Source organism: Homo sapiens, chromosome 5 (assembly GCF_000001405.40).
Source record: "Homo sapiens chromosome 5, GRCh38.p14 Primary Assembly".
Taxonomy (NCBI): Eukaryota; Metazoa; Chordata; class Mammalia; order Primates; family Hominidae; genus Homo; species Homo sapiens.
Window position 1 is genome coordinate 40,267,909 of NC_000005.10, and position 22,383 is coordinate 40,290,291.

At 37.8% G+C, this 22,383-nt stretch overlaps 1 pseudogene; it reads left to right on the forward strand.

The window, feature by feature from the left end:
* RNU1-150P (RNA, U1 small nuclear 150, pseudogene) lies at positions 1,650–1,811 on the forward strand (annotated as a pseudogene).

Sequence of the window (22,383 nt, forward strand, 5' to 3'; positions counted from 1 at the left end):
GGACCATATCAGTTTTAAAGGTGAACCATGAACCCCCATCACCAGAGCCAAATGAGAGCCCTTTAGTTCAAGCTGTATCCAAATGAGATGTACAAAAAACTGCTTCTCTTCAATATTTGGCCCACATTTTTCCAATGGAAGCATTTTTCTCATCAGACTGGTGTTAACTGCCAACTTGTAAATAAAATATAAGCTTAGTTTTGAGCTGATTATGGGCAATATCATAACCTCATTTATTCAGACAAGCTACCCAAATCACAGACGTTCTTTAACTGGCCACTTTTAAGAAAATACTTGCCAAATAATGGGCTTGTTAAATAGCAAATGTCAAAAACAGATTTCTAATGTGACTAACAGGCATTTACTGAAGCTGAAGCAAGTGTTTGAACCCAATGGAATGTTAATCTAATATGAATATGCTTATGCTAGCAAACACTAAAGCTGGATGAAAAAAGCATGACATAGTTTTAAAAACAGTAATCTCATATAGATATGCTTATGCTAGAAAATTTTAAAATTTAGATGGATTGTATTTTTTAAATGGTAAACTATGCATATTTTTACATATATATGCAAAACATTGTGTAATTTAAATGTATTTTAAATCTCAATCTATTTCAGGGTTCAGTGTTTTGATTAGTAACTATCAAATCCAGCCCAGAGAAATTTAAAAGAATTGGTTTAGCTGGGTATGGTGGCTCACATCTCTAATCCCAGTACTTTGGATGGCCAAGGCTGGAGGATCAGTTGGGCTGAAAAGTTCAAGGCCAGCCTAGGCAACATAGTGAGATCCTGTTTCTCCAAAAAAAAAAAAAAAAGTTCTGAAAAATACCCAGGCATATTGGGGTGTACCTGTAGTCCCAACGACTCAGGAAACAGAGGTGGGAGAATCACTTGAGCCCAGGAGGTGAAGGCTGCAGTGTTGCCCATCACTGCACTCCAGCATGGGCAACAGAGTGAGACTCTGTCTCAAAAATAAAATAAAATAAAGAATTGGTTTAACTTTCCAGATTTACAGATATTTCTGATAGGTGTTTGGATTGAACTTGGTTAAAGAAGAAATGGTTAAAGAAGACGAGGGATACAGACACAGCAACCCAGCAGTTAAAGTAAAAAGTTTGGAGCTAGACAGATAAGAACTAGAATTCTAGCTCCTATACTTGCTAGCTGTAATATTTTAGACATGTTATTTCACCTTTCTAAACCTCTATTTTCTTTACCTGTAAAATACAAGTGAAAACACCTGACTCACTGGGTTGTTTTAAGGATTAAATTAGATATCATTTGTAAACTAGTAACCCAGAGTCTGACCCACAGCAAGTGCCAGTAAATGGGAACTTCCATCACTTTGCATACATACTTCCCATGAACTCTCTTACTGGAAGATATTCCCAGATGCCTGCTATATTCTGTGAACTCTAACCCTAGAAAAATAAAATATTTTCTTTTATCATAGTTTCATTTTCTTTATCAAGGTTAAGTTTCATTCATATTTTGCCATCATACTAAAATATTCCCAACTTAAGAATGTTTTTTCTACACAGTTCTTGTCCTCCTCCCGCTCAATAGTATTATAGTTTTTTTACGAGATAAGGTACTTGATTCCATTCATTTCTTAAATTTTCTTTTTTCAAGGAACCTCATGTGTAATATTTACCTGGCAGGAGAGATCCCATGATCACAAAGGTGGTTTTCCCAGAGTGAGGCTTAACCATTGCCTCCGAGGTGCTGATTCCTGATATTCCCCCAAATGTGAGACGCTGGAGTGCATAATTTATGGTAGTGGGGGCCTGAGTTTGCACTCTCCCCTAATGTTTTTGATATAAAAAAAGAAACTTCATGTCTTCAAATCTTTGGGGATTCCTAAAATATCTATTTACTAATTGCATGCTATTATTTTTATTCAAAACCTTTCAGACAAAGACTGATTGAGGAAGTTAACTTTTTCTAGGATAATGTTAGGTTATCTTGACCTTGAATTCAACTTCAGCTAATTTTTTTTCTTTACTAGAGAGCCTTATCATTAATCCCATATCCCATTAAGAGCTGCTTTGATCCCCAGTCAGCCTGCCTAATCTAATGTTTTGGAAAAGATATTCTGCTCTCTGTTCTGGGAGACTTATTTTCCTACATTTGGTCAGAAAAAAAAAATGTCAAAGGTTTGAGAGACTGAGAAAAGTGCTGAATGAAGCTCTAGGTCCACATTGTGGTTCTGACAGTCTGGTTATTTTTTGGGGTGTCTGCATTTGGTTTGCACGACTCCTCCCTCCATTTCACTCTTGGTTCACTGTCTTTGAAAAAGGAATCAGAATCCCACCTTGTGCCATGAGCAAGATTTGCTCTGTTGGATTTTGACCTTTGGGAAAGAGTTTTGTTATCTAGTCTTGGACATGGAGTTGTCAACTTTTAAAAAATCATCTTAAATGGGAGTGAGCATTTCTGACCCTTGGGAGGGAAAAACAACTTTAGATATCTTGGTAAATGGGAACAAGCATAAGGTTGAGATGAAGGAGAAATGCTTCCCTGGACACAGTGCAGATTGTTTCTACCAGCAATCGCTGGTGGTGGCTCCAGCTGAGCAGGATGGGGCAGGCACCCTTGTGCCACTACTACAGGCGTTCTTTCTGATACATGCAGCTCTTTCTGCAACAACTAATCCTCTTCATCTGGACTCTTCAGCCTGATTCATGGCCCTCTTTTCTGCCTCATTTTTAAAAAGTGTTGGCAATGATACAGCAGAGAATGAAAGTCACTGATATCTCATTGGGGTTCTAAATAGAAAGTGGCAGAAAACTGTGAGGCCCTGAACAAATCATTTCCTTTTCTTGACATCAGTTTTTTTTAACCTATAATGACTGGCTGAAAAAAAAAAAAAAAAGCATGAACTCTAAGAGCCTTCCAGCTCTGGCATTCTTTCCTTTTTAAATATTTTTTTTCTGAAGACCTCAAGCACATTATATTTGTAATTGTTATTTTTAAGCTATATACACGCGGCACACAAACATATACAGTTTAAATCTCTCTGTTAGTGAACTGTGCAACCAGTGCCAAATGTAAGATAGCCTTCACATTTGACGGGATATGCCTTTACTACTCCAGACCCTCAGTTAACAGAGCAGGTGATGAACATTGCAGTTGCAACCCAAGAGCATAAAGAACACTCCAACCTCCAACAACAGTCTAAAATGTCAGACTGCTGGGCATTTAGCAGCATCTGCTTTATAAATTACCATGTTTATGTGGTGTTCTCAGAAGGGTTCCCATTGTTATTTACTCCTCAATGTTTGGTGCTAAACATCAAAAGAACCCGAGCACCAAAATGTCAAGCCCAGGGAGGAAATGTTTCAAGAGAATTTATTTTTGTACCAATTTAATTTTTCTCTGAATTTCAAGAACAAGGGTGTGGACCTGACATCGGACCATTCTGCCAAATGGGATTCATCCAGTTCTAATTACTACTCCCTTTCACAGGCCCAAGGATGCCACTCTATGCTTGGCACATGGAAGTTACTGGCTGGACAGATTGTACTAAACAAAAAAAACTCCCTAATTACAAATGATTAGAAATAAAAATAAAATCTGCACTCCAAGTCTGAAATTTGTATTACTTTATCCTGAGGTGTAAAGGATTTGAGAGAAGGAAGAGGAGCTGAGATTTTGTTTATGACATTTTTAGGGTGTATTTCTTTCAAAGAATTTAGAATGCCCGGAGCTTCGTCTGGAGTAGTTACTTGTGCACAGTTTTTTGTTTTTGTTTTTGTTTTTGTTTTGCAATCTCCTCTTCTCATTTTTTTTTCAATGAAAAACAGCTGAAGAATAGTTTTATTAGTTCTGGACATATGAGTGGTAGTTTCTGGAGCAGCTGTTTTCACAACCTATTCCAAGCAAGATGTCTTTTTTAAAGACTCTTGCTTCTTTCCTGCTTACTAATTACAATATTAGTCTTTCTCTTTGTTAGTTCTCTGTTTTCTTTTAGTCTCATTATTTGATCATTTTAATCTTATGATGGGAAAAAAAAACTAAACATTTGCAAATTTATACCTGTGAAGCCTACTATGTGCAGAGAGGTAGGCCAGTCAGTCTCCACATGCAAAGAATGAAGAGCCAGACATTGCACAATGAGTGACAAAGGCATTAGATTCAATAGAAATTCAGGAAACAGAAGAAACTTTATAATGTCTGATCTATTAAGCAGATAACATTGAAGTTGAGGGAACAGGTTCATCCAGGGATCAAACTTGCCCTGAGAAGCCTAACAAGGAACAAAGACTTTGAAATAGTAGAAACTTTGAGGGTTGTACTTATGTCCCACAATAGTACGGATTAACCAAAACTTTTGATCTCATCCAATTCTGCTTCATTCATCAAAATGAATGTATATTTTCTCACAATACGTTTTCTCTTTCAAAGAGCAAGGGCTTTTGAATGTCAAGTTTTCTGCAATCTAGCTCACAAACACTTATGAGGATAGGCATAAGAAGGTAATGTTAACCTGAAGAGTCTTGCCTGGAATTAAAAGTGCACAATACACATTAAGACACTCATTATACTATATGAGTATATATACATTATACTTTAAAGCACATGATACTCATGTGTTTTAAAGTTGATACTGGGAGGAAGAGAGACGATTTTTAAATTTTCTCAAATCCGTGAGAGTCCTTAGGTATGGTATGCTGAAGATAGCTCCCTGAGGATTGGAGTAAAAGAAAATGGAATGTGGTCAGAACATGTAACTTGAGATTGAGGGGCTGCCCATAGGAAAATAGTTGTAGGCCAAAAAGCAGGAGATGGAAAGCTGAGCATGACACCTGAGGCAGCCTACCGAGTTGCAAAGGAACCACCATTTGCAAGTGAGCACTCAGTCATGGTTGGCTATTTTTAAAGCATCATTACACTTAGAGAAGTACTTATCACATTTGCTTGGCTTATCACCCATTTTGCACTCTGGGTAATTGAGTTGCAAACAAAGACATCTTTATTTCTCAAAGGATATAAAATACAAGCTTTTGTATCAGAAAGTATAAAGCAAAGTAAAAAAGATAGATTCCCTAAAGCAGTGATTTTCCAAGGGTGGTTCCACGGTTGGCAGCAGCTGCTGGGAACTTGTTAGAAATGCAAATTCTAGCAGAATCATAATCAGAAACTCAGGGAGTGTGACTCAGTGATATCTGTTATAACAAATCTTTACGATAAAGTTTGAGAAACACTGTTTAATGAATAGGTAGGAAACACCATACTTTAAAGTTCAGCTTCTTAAGAGACCAAAGACTTTATTTATTTTTAAATTTTTTATTTCCATAGGTTTTTGGGGAATGGGTGGTATTTGGTTCCATGAGTAAGTGGTGATTTGTGAGAACTTGGTGCACCTATCACCCAAGAAGTATACACTGAACCCAATTTGTAGTCTTTTATCCCTCACCCCCTTCCGACTCTTTCCCACTGAGTCCCCAAAGTCCATTGTGCCCTTCTTATGCCTTTGCAACCTCATAGCTTAGCTCCCACTTATGAGTGAGAACATACTATGTTTCATTTTCATTCCTGAGTTATTTCACTTAGGATAATAGTCTCCAATCCCATGCAGGTTGCTGTGAATACAATTCATTCCTTTTTATGGCTGAGTAATATTCCATCATATATATATGATATATATATCATATATATGTGTTATATATATATATATATCATATATATGTGTTATATATATCATATATATGTGTTATATATATATCATATATATATATATCCTAGTAGGTATATGAACTTTATTTTGTAGGAATTAAAAGGGTAATTGTATAATTTAGGGGGACAGCAGACACTTATTGGTAGCCTATGTAATATATATATATGATATATATATCATATATATACACCAAAGTTTCTTTATCCACTCATTGATTGATGGGCATTCAGGTTGGTTCTACATTTTTGCAATTGTGAATTACAACCACTATGAAAAACATTGTGGAGACGTCTTAAAGAACTAAAAGTAGAACTAACATTTGATCCAACAATCCCACTACTGGGTATCTACCCAGAGAAAAATATGTCATTATGCAAAAAAGATACTTGCACACGCATGTTTATAGAGACCAAGACTTTAAATCAATTTGTAAAGAATGTGCTGTGTGTTTACTCTGTTTGCCTGAAGGAGAAGTTTGAGCACTGCACAGCAATTAAACAATGAGTCAAGACAGGCCATCATCAGGAAACCATGTCAAATATCTGAGGAGAGCTATCAGGAGGTAGGGAAGAGATAAGGGCAGTATAAGCTGAAGGCATCCAGAAAGAGTAAAGACAAGATGAAATGGGGTTCTTATAAGAAACTTGCCTAACACACCAACATTTCTCATTCATAAGGGTATGCTTACTCTGTTTCTGGGAAGTAGGAGAAAAAGACTCTGCTTCCCATTGCTTTCATAAGGGGTAAACAATGGCCTCCTTTAGACACAAATTGATGACCCTCTTCAGCCTCCACTTTCTGTGCTGAATGTACCAGAGTTTACAGCCAGCCAAGAAGTAAGAGGTGGACATGCTCCTTGATGAGTGGTTTCAGGCAACAGCCTGCAGCACCAAGTCTTCTGAAAAACCTCCCAGGTCTGAAAACGACTATGAGAAGAGTGAAAAAAAAAAAGTGTGTTGGGGCTGCTTCTAGCCAGATCCTATTCAGAGTTCCACAGCTGAACTTCCCTTTGGACTGTGTTTAGAGTTCCTAAACAAAATAGATGGGAGATGTATCCCACTGAGGAGCAAAACAGACAAAGCCATTACCCCTCTAAGTAAGCACAGCCCTGAGCCAGGAACAAAAATTGGCCCAGTGTGTGGGAACGTGGGCCTGCCAGGCCTATCTAGAATCCACTCCCAGGCAGTGGCAGTAAGGAACATGCTGGGAAATGTTATGCTACCCCTCCCCAACCAAGCTTTCTACTCAAAGGTTAAGGAACCACCCTCATTTCCTTGAATTAGCCACTGTGAATTGTTAAATGTGAGTCTAACCAAATCTTTTTCAGGTTACTTATATTTTTACAGAGGCCTGGGATTTGGTATTCTATAGGCACTACTTCCTGGATTGTAATGGGATTTTAGACTGACAACCCTATACCACAAATATACATCAGTTCTTGAGAGCAGACAAAGGGAACCATGCCTTACTTTAATCTTTCCTAAGTATGGATTGTTGGCCATCTATAAAAGAATCCCCCAGATTCTTGTTAAAAAATACTGGTTCACAGGTCACATATCAGACCAGTAAAATCAGAAATGTGTTAGGGTGGACATTGGGATTCTGCATTTTTAACAAAACTGCCAAGTAATTTGTATTTTCATTAATATTGAAAACATGGTCAGTTGGCTTAACAGTCAAAATCAACTTTGCAAAAAAGTCCAATCATACCCACATGCATTAATTATTGTTACGTACTTTGTCTTGGCAATGATACAACAAGACAGAGGGAGAGAGAGAGAGACAGATAAATGGACAAATGCAGAAAAGGATAGAAAAACTGAAATGAGGCAGAAAAGAAAGTGAAAAGGAGCTATACTACTATCCTTTGCAACCCATTACACAAACTGGGAAGCCTAAAACAACAGAAATGCATTCTCTCTCAGTTCTGGAGGCAGAAGCCCACCATCAAGCTGTCAGCAAAGCTATGCTTCTTCCAAAAGCTCTAGGGCAGAATCCTCTCCTTGCTTCTTCAAGTTTCTGATTGATCTTGACAATCCTTGATTTCTGGCCTCATCACTGTCCTCTCTGCCTCTGCAGTCCCATTGCCTCCTCCTCTTCCATGTATGTCTCCTATGCACCTGTACCCTAAAAGATACATGTGATTGAATAGCCCAGGATAAGCTCCCTCTCCCAGGATCCTTAATTTAATGACATCTGCAAAGACCATTTTGCCAAATAAGGTCACATTCACAGGTTCCAGGAATTAAGACATAAAACACAGACACAGCTTTCTGTGGCTACCATTAAGCCCACTATAGAATCAAAGAGGGGAAGGAAGTGAGAAACACGGAAGAGAAGAAAACAGCAGCTTCTTTGCCTTGGGCACATTTAGCCCTCTTAGCCAGGAAGGCTGAAGTGTTTTGGATTGAAGGTGAGACCTCGTGTCAAAAGAGATTGAAATTTAAATAAATAGAAAAGATATCTCTATGCCCTGTGTTGTTTTAGGCATGCTTCAGTGTTCTACACAACACTGAGGAAGTCTGCCTCTTGTTGATGTCAATAATAATTTAGCGAAAGGAAAATTACAAGCTGAAAAGGGTAAGTACAGCTAACCAGATGCAATGCTATTAGCCTGAGTAAGAAGAGTTCTGGAAATGTGACGTTAACAAAACATCTGTTAGTGTATCAATCATCTCCCTCATCTTTGGAGACACCTGGGGGAGGGGGTACCTAAAATGAAAACTTCAATCTCTTATACATGCCAAATCCTCTAGGCTTGGGAAACTTACTTCACACTAAAGCACGCTAAAGTCATGCACGCCAAGCAATAAAATCTCATTGTGCAAATCGTATGTTCTGTTTGCAATAAGAGACAGTAACACTTGGCTTAAATTATTTTTTGGGTAGGGTAAATGGCTTCAGAAGTATAGGAAAGCACAATCAATTCATGTGTAAGACATAAAGAACTTTAGAAAGTGCAACTCAAATAATCTAATTCCAACCTTGCTAATGCACAGGAAGTCACTTTAGCACACAAATGGAAGGTCATCACTGTCAGCACATTGTCACATGCGACTCACTCATACTGAAGTGTGCATAGTCTAAGATATAATTCTTCAGAATTCTGCCCCTTCACATTTTAAAAACTCACATGATGGGATTTCCTATGTATGTGATATTAGACCACAATTTGGACTTCACTAACGCATGTAAAGGGAGAGAGAATCCTGTGCCCAAGGGATCATGTTGAGATTGTGAAATATCTCCCAGAACTTTCTGGAAACTTAGAGATCCTGGGCCCTTACGTGGAATTCTCCATGCCTGAACGTTAGACACTGGCAAATCCTGCTCATGGCTCACTTCTTCCTCTGTCAAGAGGGCAGTGAGAGGGAACTGAAGCTAGCAAAGCCAATCTTGAGGTGTTAGTCTCACACTAACCAGTATTATTGGGAAGAACTTTTTCATTTTTTAAATGTAACGTGTCCACCTAAGGACAGGGTCTTCCTGCTAATGATATGAGTAACAACTCTTTGAAAACAAGTGATATCTCGTTCTTCTCAAGTTATTTCATTTCACTTCCCAACTTTAAGGAGTACATAGCAACCCCTATCTTACAGAGAACAAAACTGAAACTTACAGAAGTGAAGCCCCTTGCCTAAATGCACAGTTAAGAGGGGAGAGCGAGGTTTCATTTCCAATCTATCTGATACCAGGCCCAGGCCCCTTGCCTGTACAGCCTCTCCTCTTTGACCCCCACTGAAGTGATTTCTTCCTGGGCCCAAGTATCACTTTGAATGTTCCTCATTTTCTGGTGTTGCTGGCAGAGGTGTGGTATGATATGCTCATCTGCCTTGACTAATTTTTTCTTTTCAGCTTCTTTGATGTAGATTCAAATTTCAAATCTGTGAAACCTACAGAAGGTAGTATGAAATCATAAGCATCTTTTGCTTCCTTCCTCTCTTAGGTTTATAGAACAGATCTCTAAATTTTCATCAGCTTTTTTTCTACAAATTCTCTCTCTTCCGAGAAGTAGCATAAATCCTGGGGAAACTGATCGTTGTACCTTTGTAGTGAGTCATCTAAGCCACAGCAACTTTGTCTGGAAGTTCCATTTCCTTGCAGCATCACACTACTTTTTGAAAAAACATAAATATAGGTTTGGCCTTGGGGACTTCCATCTCTCAGCCTTCTACTCATTTCTCAACACCCAGCACCTTGAGGCTCAGGTTATTATAGAGAAATCATCCCCTGCCAATGTACTTTATGAGCTCAATTTTTTTCCAAGCTTCACCTACACGTTGCTGCATTCTGTAGCTAGCTTCCTGATAAAAATTATTCCTCTGCTAATACTGCCATAATTTATTGTCCCTCCCCAACATAAGTTTTACAAAATCACCTCTGAATGTGGAATTTTAAATACAGAGGCAAGCTAACAAAACAGAAAATTTTGACAAAATTGTCCTAAAATCATGAAATTTTAGAGCTCAGAACTTTAGAAACCATCCAAGTGAAATTTGCCTAAAATTTTTGAAAATTTAAAATTAAATTAAATTTTAAAAAAAGAACTTTAGAAACCAGCGCTTTTACCTCTCCCTATAGCCTTTGTTTTATGGTTAGGAAATTAAAGCCCACAATGGGAAAATTTATCTGGAACCAGCCAGAATGCAATCTGGGTCTCCTAGTCAATGACTTTCAATGAACAGGTAATCTTGCAAATTCATCCTACATTATGCCAAATCTATAGCTGTTGATTCTCACCTTCAATCTGCCACCTTTGGTAAGTATTCAGGAATATAGATCAAGTCATTTAAATTGGCTTAGCTCAGGCTCTGCTCATGGACCAGGCTCAGCCAGACAGCACATTGTTTTATTTGGTCTGTGTTAATGCCCCACAGCTAGTGAGATGGTTTTCATCTGTCATCTCTCTGTTGACAGACACACTCTCCCCTTGCTGGGCTTCTTGCTACCTGAACCTCAAATGTTCCCCCAAAGTCTTTTACAAGACTTCCCCAGAAAGTGATGAATGCTGCAAAAAGGGAAAACCCAAGTCAGTGAGGAGGGGAAATTGGCAAGAATTTAGAGTTAGAATGAGTGACTGGAAAAGAGAACTCTGGAAGTAAACAGGGGTGAAGCATAGGCAGGTAAAAGAGAAAACCAAAGAGATGGTGCAAACGTACCTAGATTCTGCTATTCCAGTGAGCAATGGAGAGGCCTAATGATGTTAACAGGGAAGGAGCTATGCCTATCCAGGCTGAGGGAGGAAGGAGGCATGCTGGACACCTGCAGCACTGCTGGTTTGGGTTAGAAGAACCTAGCAGAGCACTTTCTCCACAGTTGTTATCCCTGCCTCTCTCTCTTATCCACTTCCCATCCATAATTGACAGTTAAATAAAGAAACGCTCCATTTAGATAACACTTTCTCCCTTTTTACAGGACTCAACAGGGAGCAGTCGGCTATTTAAACATACTTTCCATAGTTGGTCATTTGAACACACTGTGTGGAAAGGAAATGACTGTCATGCCAAGGGAAGGAGAAGGGATCATCACTTTTAATAATTTCCCCGACTTTCTTCCCCTGAGAGTTTGCTCAATTCCTGAACTAATGGACACTCGTAAATTGGGAAAGAAGAAGTTATTAAGAAAACCCGATGAACATCCAACCACACTAAATTCTCCACTCTAGTTGCCTTACACAACCCAACTTTTTCCTCCTTTACATAAGAACAGGAGAGCAAAAGTTGTATTTAATGAAGAAAACTAAATTTGAAAGATGACTTAGGTTAAAAATGTATTCCAATCTCTTTTATATTTCTCACATAATTTATTACCCACATTAATGTAATTATGTACTGTTGAAATCAAGCCAAAAAAAACAAAAGTTAGCATAATATGTCAAAAGGTTACTGCAGGTCCATAAAAGATGCTAGTAGTTTCAATACAAAAATTGGTTAAATAATCTAGTGTTTAATTTGAAGCTGCCTTTAACACAGTTTGAAGAATTTTTGTTTTATGAAAGCTACACAAAGTCCTAACAACCATCTGAAATTTTTTCAATGTCTCCTATTGCAACTAAATTGCTACTTCTGGCAGGGTATAATGGCTCACACCTGTAATCTCAGCATTTTGGGAGGCCAAGGCACTAAAATCACTTGAACCCAGGAGGCAGAGGTTGCAGCGAGCCAAGATGGTGCCACTGTACTCCAGCCTGGGCAACACAGCAAGACTCTGTCTCAAATAAATAAATAAATTGCTACTTTTAATTTTATTTAAATATTCTGTATGTGCTCTGAAGCATTATGAGAAAATGAAATAATTGGCAGGACTCTGCAGTCAGTGTTTCGTTTGGTTAAAAAATAATTTGAAGTATATAGTGGATAATACATATCAGAAGACAAAAAACGAAAAATACATGTCTGCTTTATAAATCTCTATAAAATCTAATTGGAGTCAGTTGTTGTATAAGCAGAGAATGAACAGAAAAGCTAAATATAAAATTGAAAATTTAAAAATACTCTAAAAACTCTTATGAAAAAAATTGGTCAGCCTCTCCTGGAATGACTCAGACAAGCTCTTCTTTTTGGTAATGGGCCTGGAATCATATCAAAAAATATAAGTTAAGAAAACACTATCTTTTTTATATTATGAAACTAAAATTCATCAAAAGATAATTTGGAGATCTATGGGAACTATTTTAAAATAACAAATGCCAAAAAAATTATAGTCCTTAATTTGTTATGTTAATGATTTGAAACATATGTGGTAATATCAAAATATTTAACTCAAATGTGGCAACTCCACATGTGTTTTACCAAGAATAACTTTGTAAAAACAGACTCTCTACCCCACGCTCCTAGAAAAAGGAGAGAAACAGGTACAAAATTTTCTGCTTAAGTCAAATCTATGTGGGTATCAAAAATTAACAACCCTTACTATTGTGGTAGTCTCTGAACCCCTTTAAGAATCAGAATCTTCTTCTAGAGAAAAAAAAATAGACCTACACATGCACAGAATTCTGGAAGCTTAAGAACTTGTGAAGCCAATTTATAAAATCCATGCTAAGAACCCTGGATCCTAAGGTAAACTCCTGAGAGAAAGAGAAACAAACGTCAAACAAGCCTTTAGATAATATTCTGTATCAGTCGTGGCAAAGAGTGATCTCCATCCACCCAGAACCACTCACGTGATTTATGACTGTTTTTCAGTGTTGGGAGCCTGAGAGCTGTAGGACATGATTTAGTGGCTCCTACGACACTGGGACTGTGGCCTGGGTTGCTGGTGTCAAAGAAATGGGACTTTTTTCAGGTTCCCAGCTAACTTGGTGACTTGAAGGTTGTAGGCTGGTACTGAAAATTGCTCACTAAGCAGTGATCACCCACCCTCCACCCACCACTCCGTACCCCCAAATTCACCCAGTTCTCTCAGTAGCTGAAAAATAGGATAGCTTGCTGTTGGTTTCTTTAGACCTGAATAGATGTGGGCTTAGCATTTTCCCATGATGTCTTTGAAGAAGAAAGCGGGAGTAAAATCACAATAGTGGGAAAGGAAAATTCTTTGACGTTGGCATCTTCATTCTAAGTACCCCTCATCCGCTGGTACACTTGGGGTGAATTTTGTCATCTGCAATAGGTGAGAAAAAATGGTAGAACCGAGTTGTAAATCTCCAGCAGATGAGAGGCAAGACCAGAGTTTCACATGAGGAGGAAGCAACGGCCATTCACAGTAATGTCTAGACTGGCTCTGGCCATAGCACATAGCTGATCATGGCTGCAGTGTAGCCTCCCACAGTGCAGCCATCAGGAATGTGCAGGATTGCTCTGATCCCAGGGCCTAGGATAGGGCATGCACAGAGTAAGGTGCTTTCCCAACATCTCTGGAAGGAAGGGAGAGAGGAGAAATGGAGGAAAAGGTGGTAATGGAGAGTAGTAAAATATACATGGAAAGTGATCAGAGGATATATTAGTTTGCCAGAGCTGACATAAGAAAATGCCACAAACTGGGTGGCTAAACAACAGAAATTTTTTTTTCCCACAGTTCTGGAGGCTGGAAGTCCAAGATCAAGATGTCAGCAGAATTGGTTTCTCCTGAAGCCCCTCTCTTTGGCTTGCAGATGATCACCTTCTTGTTTTTTTTTCTCACATGATCTTTCTTCTGTACTCACACACTCCTAGTGTCTTTCTGTGTGTCCAAATTTCCCGTGTTTATAAAGACACAGATTAGGCTGGATTAGGGCCCATCCTAATAACCTCATGTTAATGTAATCACCTCTTTAAAGGCCCTGTCTCCAAATATACTCACATTCTGAGGTAATGGGGATTAGGGCTTCAACATGTGAATTTGGTAGAGATACACATCAGCCAAAAACAGAGGGAAATACTGGTTTTGTTGAACCCTAGCCCCATCTCTTCTCCCTTTCACATCCCAAAATCTTAGGTGGGAGATTAGATCTGAGAGATGAGGCATGGTCAAGGGTCCCAGACCCTCAAGTGAAATGAGCAATGGCACTAAGAAGTCTCTCCAGCTCTTCCTCTAGGACACCCGACTGGCTACATAGACAGAGTCATAAGTACCAGGAGGGCCACAGACAGCCACATAGACAAAAGCCACTCCCAGTGGTACAGAGGTTCCCAGGTACCAGCAAACCATTAGACTCTTCCATAGAAAGCCTCTTGCTTTTAGAAAAATCAAATCTTAGGTACTTTCTGAGGTTGTTATCTGCCTTTTGTCTGTATTGAGAACATATAAAGGACTCCTTCAAATTAATAAGAAAAAGCCTATTTTTAAAAATGGACAAGATTTGAATGGGCCCTTCAAAAAAGAGGAAATTCAAATAGGCAGTAAACATATTAAAATATATTCAAAGAAATGCAAATTATAACCACTTTCAGACACCAGTTGATACCCTTCTGAATGGCCAAAAGCAAAAGGAGTATCTATATCAAAGTTTGGCAATCATACGGAGCAAGAGGAATGTGTTTATAAGGGTAAATTTGTAATAATCATTTTGAAAAAATATATATAATGTTAAGGTATTATTAAAACAATAATAAGACAAAACAATACTATGAAATATCACATATTCAATATGTTAGGGGAAGAAATATGTTATTTGATTTTGGTATTCAACATAGAGCAAAATATGAGAATCTTTGAATTAATGCAAATTAAGTGTGTTAAATTTTAATAGTATTTCCTGTACTTGACCAAAACGCTATGTTTTTAGAACACTCGGAGTAAATCTAATGTCTCCTTCACATGGCAGCTCCTCAGAAATTAAAAGACAGTTTGTTTTCACATCCTTTTGAGACTTCTCTGCCCTTGGTAGTGCCTTCATCTGTTTTTCTGCACCACCCTGATCACTTTCCTATGAACAAATTCTTTTTTGGTTTATATCTCTTTAACTGTTGGGGCCCAGAATAAAACACATCGCTGTCTGTATATTTTGACAAAGCAAACTAGAGTAAGACTGACATTTCTTTCTTATTTGATACAAAATTTTCAGTAATGCTAAAGTCCCATCAACTTTTTGATAGTCACTTAACACTTTACCCGTTTGGATACACATTACCTCCTCTGAACTAAAACCTTTAAGTCTTTTCTACACATATTGTTACAAAGCACCCTCTGTTTTGTGTATTTTTAATTCACTTGCACACATTTATATATACCAATTTTTAAATGCATTTTTTTAAATTCAACACAATGCTCCAAACTCCCTTTGGGATTTTGATTTTGTCATCTAATATGTACATTAATTGAAAAAACAGTACAGCATGACCTTCATGTGTGTATGTGTGTCAGTGTGTGTGCATGTGTGTGAAGATGGTTATAGATAAACATAGGTATAGATATAAATATACAGACAGACATGGATATATAAATATATATTACTATAAATCTATATGGCAAGTTATAACTACAGTTATTACTAAGTGACAGGATTGTGTGTGATTCCTATTTTCTTGCACTTGATTTTTATATTTCCTTTGAAATGTGTATCTAGTGAGGCAGAATGCTCAAAATTAGTGCCATCATCTTCTATGTTTAGAGGTGGAGAAGGCAAGTCATATTGGAACAGTTTAGTCCAGATAATACTTGGGTTACAGATGCATGAGAAGAATCTTAAAAAGGAATATAAGTTTGCTTCAGATTAATGGGTACCATCAGCAAAGAATATAGATTTGTTTAGAGATCAAACAGAAAATGTACTATGGCTTGATCAGCAATGACTTTGAATGTGTACCAAAGAGTTTATTATATAAATAATTTATTCTAGAGACATTAGAAAAAATTAAATAGCTTTCAGGAAAAGGAAAACATAATTTGACCTATTTATTGGAAAGAGAAAAGGTATTACCAGCGAAAACACCAGATTTAGAGACAAGAGGTTAGAAATAAGGATAACTGTTAAGTGTCCACTCCAGAAACCTATAGCAAAATGACTAGGTTCAAGTAGAAAATTGTCAAGAAAATAAAGAGTGGATTCAGCAGTATTTCCCAAACTATATTCAACAGAACACTATTATTTACCAATAAACATCTTTAAATATTTATTAGTGTCAACATTATTATTAATATTTATATTATGGCAAGTTGGAGGGATTATGTTTGATCAAACTTTAGAAATGTCATCTATTACATTATCCTGTTAAACATTTGAAATGCATACAAACATATTGAAGACCTGAGAAATCTTGCCATAAAAAGCATATTTAACATTCTTTAATGCACCATTTTCCAAATTCATTTGATCACATGGAAAGCCTGTTAACGTCTCACTGGATACTAGTATTCCATGCACCTGAATTTGGGAAACACAGCATTATAGAAATATTGAGAAGGCAGAAACAACAAAACGTAGTATTTGATTGCCTGAGAAAGAAGAGAATTCAAAGATGATGTTAAGTTTTAGCCACTCTGACTAAGAAAACACGCTATACCATAATTATCAGTTTTATGAGAACAGATTTTTGGGTGGGAATTAGTGTAGGCTTGGGTTAGTTAAGTGTCAGGTGTCAGGGTATCAACATTTGAAGATATTCATATAATAAACATAAATATCTGCAAAAATTATTTCAAAAACAGTAATGGAAATTCAGGTAAACTACTTGCAATTATTTCATAAACTGTTGCTACCAACCAAAATGAATGCCTAGCAGAGCGCTCCAGCACATGGCACAGCTAGACCATGCCATGCCCCATGATGTGTCACACATCGGGGATAAGAACAATAGCAAAGATGCTGCTAAAGAAGCCACAGTAAATGGTTCTCATAATTGTGAAAGCTGAATAATTATGTCCACAGGATACTCCTTTGCTAGTCACCGTAACTAAAGAACTTGGAGCCTCTTGCCCATTGGCACATGAAATTCCGGGAAACACCTTTAATCTGTATTTCAATCTCCTAAAGTTTCTTGTTATTTAAGAGCTTAATTGTTATGACTGTGCTAAGAAAAACTCAAGAAGGTAAAAAGAGATGTTAACTACTTGGACCTGAAATTACAGAGCATGAAGTAAATTCTCAGAAAGAACATTAATATTGAGTAGCTGCAGATATACGTCATACCTGGGAAAAAGTGTGCTTAACCACCCTCTGTCATGCCCAATCCAATCAAGCTCTGAACATGTGTGAGAAATTCATTCCCCTTCAGAAAGGAGAAAGGGAGAATGCAAGGACAGTCTGTCCTGATTCCAGTTGTTTTGCTGAACTGCTCTGTGAGCTGAAGCAATTCCAGGAATTTATCTTCCTCAATTCCACATCTGCAGAAGGGTAAAAACAGCAATAGCAAGGTACCTTGGCCCTCAGCTCTTCGGGCTTGCTACAAATTACCAGAACAATTCACACTTGTAAGTATGGTGGCAGGAAAAAGCTTTGGGGTCAGAAGAACAAAGACTACATTCCACAACTCCTTCACCAATTAAAAAATATGATCTTGGGTAGATGTTAGCTTTTGGGCCCTCTAGTTTTGTCATCTGTAAAATGAAAATAATAATTCTAAAATTGTGAGAAGTCATAGAATTAAATAATATGTATACACATTTTAAAAGTTATTTAAAATATGTGCTAAATATTGTAGTTATATTATCTGTCCTGTATAAGTAAGATTAATGGAACATACCTGATTTCTATGTTAGAGAGACAATATATACATATGTAATTCCCAACACTAAATAATAAACCATTTAGTTCCAAAGTTGAATGCCTTTCCTCACACTCGGCTCAATCATTTTCAAAAAGTCTACTTCATATTTAAAGCACTTGTCTCTTTTTCTCTGCCACTAGTTGATATTTCACTACTTTTATATCCAACTTTTCCTTAAGTCATTCATCCAAAGAAGAAAAAATTTTGTCCCTAAGAAGGAGATTTGCTTAGTACTTTCTGTTAAATTTAGAAGTGGCTCCCAAGGAGTGAGCTCTTTCAAAGACCCCTTTACCTCTCTAGTTAATGAAAGTTTAAGACCCTTTAGGGAGCAGGCTTTTGTTTGTTCATTGAATCATCTAGTTAACAAGAGAATACATCAGAATTTTTTTGATTCATCTATTCATGTTTCTAATAAGCTGATCTCTCTTGTAAACATAGTTAAATCAGTCTTTACTGTATGAAACTCTTATCTGACTCAGGGCTGTCATTTTACATAGAGATTTTTACATTTTAGAAGTTGGGGAACAACTGTAAACTCAGTTCATTTTACAGCATTGACCATGTGGAAGCAAATTCTTCAAAGTCATCACACTCGACACCTTATAGACTGGTTCTAAGATAAAGTGAGAAATTGGTGCTTTTAACTGACTACATTTCACAGCTAATTTTGCCACTATTTTCCGTTTCGTTTGAAAAGTGTCACACCTGAAAACTATCATGATTAGTTGAAGCTTTGGGTTAAATTCCAATACCTTCAGGGATCCAAAATAGTTCATAGAATAATTTTAGTTCATCATTTATTCTGTACCCACAGTGAGCAAGGTACTTAATGCGGGGTGGGGGGGGCTAATTTCAAATGAAACGACTTCCCAAAGTGTCCATATCCTGTGTCCCTTGGGGACTTCTCTCTCCTCCACACCTTTAGCCTTTCCTAAACACCTAGCACTTTATGCCAACAAAAGTAGCCAGGATAAATATGCCCATTGATTAGGAACATTAAATGGGCAAGAGAACTGGAAATTTAGAAAGTGTAAATTTTACCCCTTAATTTAGAACCACTGATCAAAGCATTCAAGTGGCAATACCAGGTAGACCATGACCACAGAACTCTTTCCATACTTGTACTCCCTGCAGCCATCTGACTTTCCCTATAGCAAGCTGGAACAAATTGCAGAAATCACTGCCATTCATACCTATTTAGAGTCCGTTGACCCTCCAGGGAGCCTGTAACCAGCTGCAGGCAGGCCAAGATGCTCCCCTAACCAGAACTTATGTGGTGGGGATACCTGGCATTAAAAAACATGCAGAACCATGGCGCCTGTTTTCTCTGTCCTTCCTGCTTCTGGTCTCTTCTGTTGCTCAGTCTATTTCTCCCCTGAGCTTTGCCTCTGTTTTGTGGTAGTTTCTTTATACTGAAGTTTTCTTTATTCCTATTTTATTGCAAATATGGGGTTTATCCAGAATTTTATCTACCAACAAACAGTAAATTGAGTCTACATCTGTTCACTCTGTTCTTGAGATAGTTTGAATAGTCCTCATTTTCATACCTGGCAATTTATGTTTGAACACGGGGCCAATTAGTCTTTCTGAATATTCCTGAAATACCTACACAATTGAGGGTGATATTTTTATGAGTACTGAGGTTCATTTATAGCTATTAAATGAATTTAAGAAATATATTTTTAGCCATCACAGCAGATGCAGTCGATAACTCTCTTCCGTATGCACTGACCTAACTTCTAACTGCCAACACCCGCCCCTCTTTACCTGAGGACTTTCTCCAAAACCCAGAATGGCCTTTCTTCCCAAGCAGAGCAGTTATAAAATCTGAAATTTATCACTCCTCAGGAACAGCCTGCACCAGATAGCCACAGGAATTGAGGCATAAATATCCCACCTCCCTTGGCCCTCAGATGGGGTAGCTTTGAGGTACCTGTGCTTCAAGTTTCCCAGGGTATTTTTGTGGGATTAATCTCCAACAGCCCAGCATATCCATAGCCACATTTTCTTGATAACACACCCCTTGTCGTCCTGCCTCCCTTCCCTTTTCACCTTCCCTCTTCCACATCAGTGTTTCCTGAACTTCCAAACTACTTTTCTCAAGTCTTTGTCTCAGAGTCTGGATGATCTCAAGTTAAGAAAACTGTCTACAATGTGCCAGACATAGATAAGCACTAAAATGACAGAGATGAATAAAAAATTATCCCTGCTTCAAGGTGTTCACCATTTGATCAGAGACAATAGCAAGAGGATAAGTCAAAAAACCTATTACCCACCTTCCTTTCAAGCCCACCCAACACCATAGCACATTCACTTGGGTCCTGACTCCTCCCCAGGGCCGCGTATCTGATGATTGTGTCTGACCAGTTGTCTCAGCAGGATTGCCTAGACATGACTCAGTCGAAACTGCTTAAGAGTACATAGGTGAGGTCTGAGGTTGGCCCACATTTCACAAAAAAAGAATATTCTAATCATTATTGAAGAAAATTTGGTGTCATATTGATGATGCGCACTGCTTTCCACTCTGCTGAAAACCAGGTTGACTTTTTAATGCATTTTTCAATGCCTAGCATTGCCCAACCGTCAGGTAAATAATTATATTGGACCCCAGGTAATAAATCAAACTTTGGTCTGTATATCAGACCCTGACATAAAGTTTCACATAAAAGATGTTTCATAAGGAGTGTTCTTGGAATTAATATTTGGGGGGAGGAGTGGAAGGAAGCAGAAATGGGAAAAAATAAAAGCCAAACTGCAGTGATTGTCCCGAAAGAACATTGGCCAATGCCATGAGGACCCTTGGAGGTAAAATTGAACATTAGCATTGTCCTAAGTTAAACCAAGATAGTTAGACTTTTATTTGCCATCTGTCATTGGACATGGGTCATCTAGGAAAGGATTTGACCTTGGGCAAGATGGCTATCCACAACAGAGGCAAGCCCTGGAGTGTTGACAACAGAAGGATATCTGCTGACGGCATTACCAACAAGTCCTTCATTAAGGGGTATCTGGACTGTGCATCACCTAAGTTCACATCATGTAAATTTGGAACATAATAACCCCTTGCAAGTACATCAGGTAATGATATTGTAGGTTCACTGCCAACTCTGGTCGTGGTATTTACAGACACAAGAATGCTGTTTACAGAAACAAGCATGCTAAAGCTCCTTTAAAAAAAAAGTCTTGTGGACTTTTTCATGAAGTCTGTCAAGCTGGAAGCAACTATTAGGCATCTGAAAGCACACTTTAATGCATGCTCCAGGGTTCCTGCTGGTGCCTCCTTGAGGAAGACTGTGGGAGTACATGGAATTGAGCTGGATGTATCAGACAGTTCTCCATAATCCTATTATTAATGTGCCACTGATAGGACAGGGCACCGCCATTCCTAAGTGTGGTCATAAAAAAAAAGTGGACTCAGGTCAGAAATCTAAACTATGAAATAATGTTACTAATCTTGGTCAGAATATGTAATTAGTCAAAAATACCTCTCATAAACCAAATAAAGTTAATGCTATTTCAGTAGTTTGCTTTACTTCATAAACTTTCAAGAGCCAGGGTGATACTGCGCAGCTGTTGCATAGCGTTTATAAAGAACAGGGTCTTCTTAGCTACTGTGAACTATGTTCACATCCCAATTATGAAAAGACAAAGCACATGGTCACAGAAAGTATTAATCACATTATTTATGTGAACCCCTACTTAACCTTATAGCTTGAAGCATTTCATAATAAAAACATTTGAGTTGTTTTAAGTCAGAGGCTGGTTGTGCTCCCGTTAATATTTAAGAAAGGATAATCCCAGCCCAGTGTGGCAAGGGGGAAATATCACTGAGCTGAGAATTGGTGCAAGTTTCTGATATGCCTCCAGTTGAATGGTGTGGAAAATTAGCCTCATTTTCTTCTCTATAAAAGCATGGGGTTTGAATATTAGATAATCTCTAAAGGTCCTCCCAATCTAAAAGTCTATGATCCTCTTTGCCTTTCAGATTAGTTAGCAGCCTAAATTGAGAGACACCCTGTGACTTAATATCATAATTTTGCATGATGACCAGTCCTAGGTTTTCTTTAGATTGGAGATTTTTTTCTTGCAAATTGAAATTTTCCAGTTTTTTCTTTTTCCTATGACAATGACCTCATTTCAAAGTGTTAATATTGCTATGATATATCTCTCTTGCAAATGTTTTCCCAAACAAAAGAATCATCCAAATCAATGTTATCCACGAGCTTCATATTTAAGAACATCTTTAAAATGTTGGATTTGTTTTACTACCTCCTAAGTTTCATACTAAGATCTAGCCAGGAAAATAAGGTTGATTTTCAAACAGTAGATTTTAGTAAAGGGGCTCACTGACTGATGCACTAGAAGCCAATACTGCAACACTGGGTTTTTTAGAAAAGAAATGCTTTTTATTGCAAGTCAGCTAACAAGGAGACAGGAGTCCAGCTCAAATCTGTCTCCCTGTGCTGGCTTTAAGGCAGCAATTTTATCTGAAAAGGTCTAAGGTGTGGATTCTAGGATTAGTAAGTGATTGGTGGAAGGAAAGGGGAGGTGTGGGAAGTCTTTGGCCATGCACAGTTA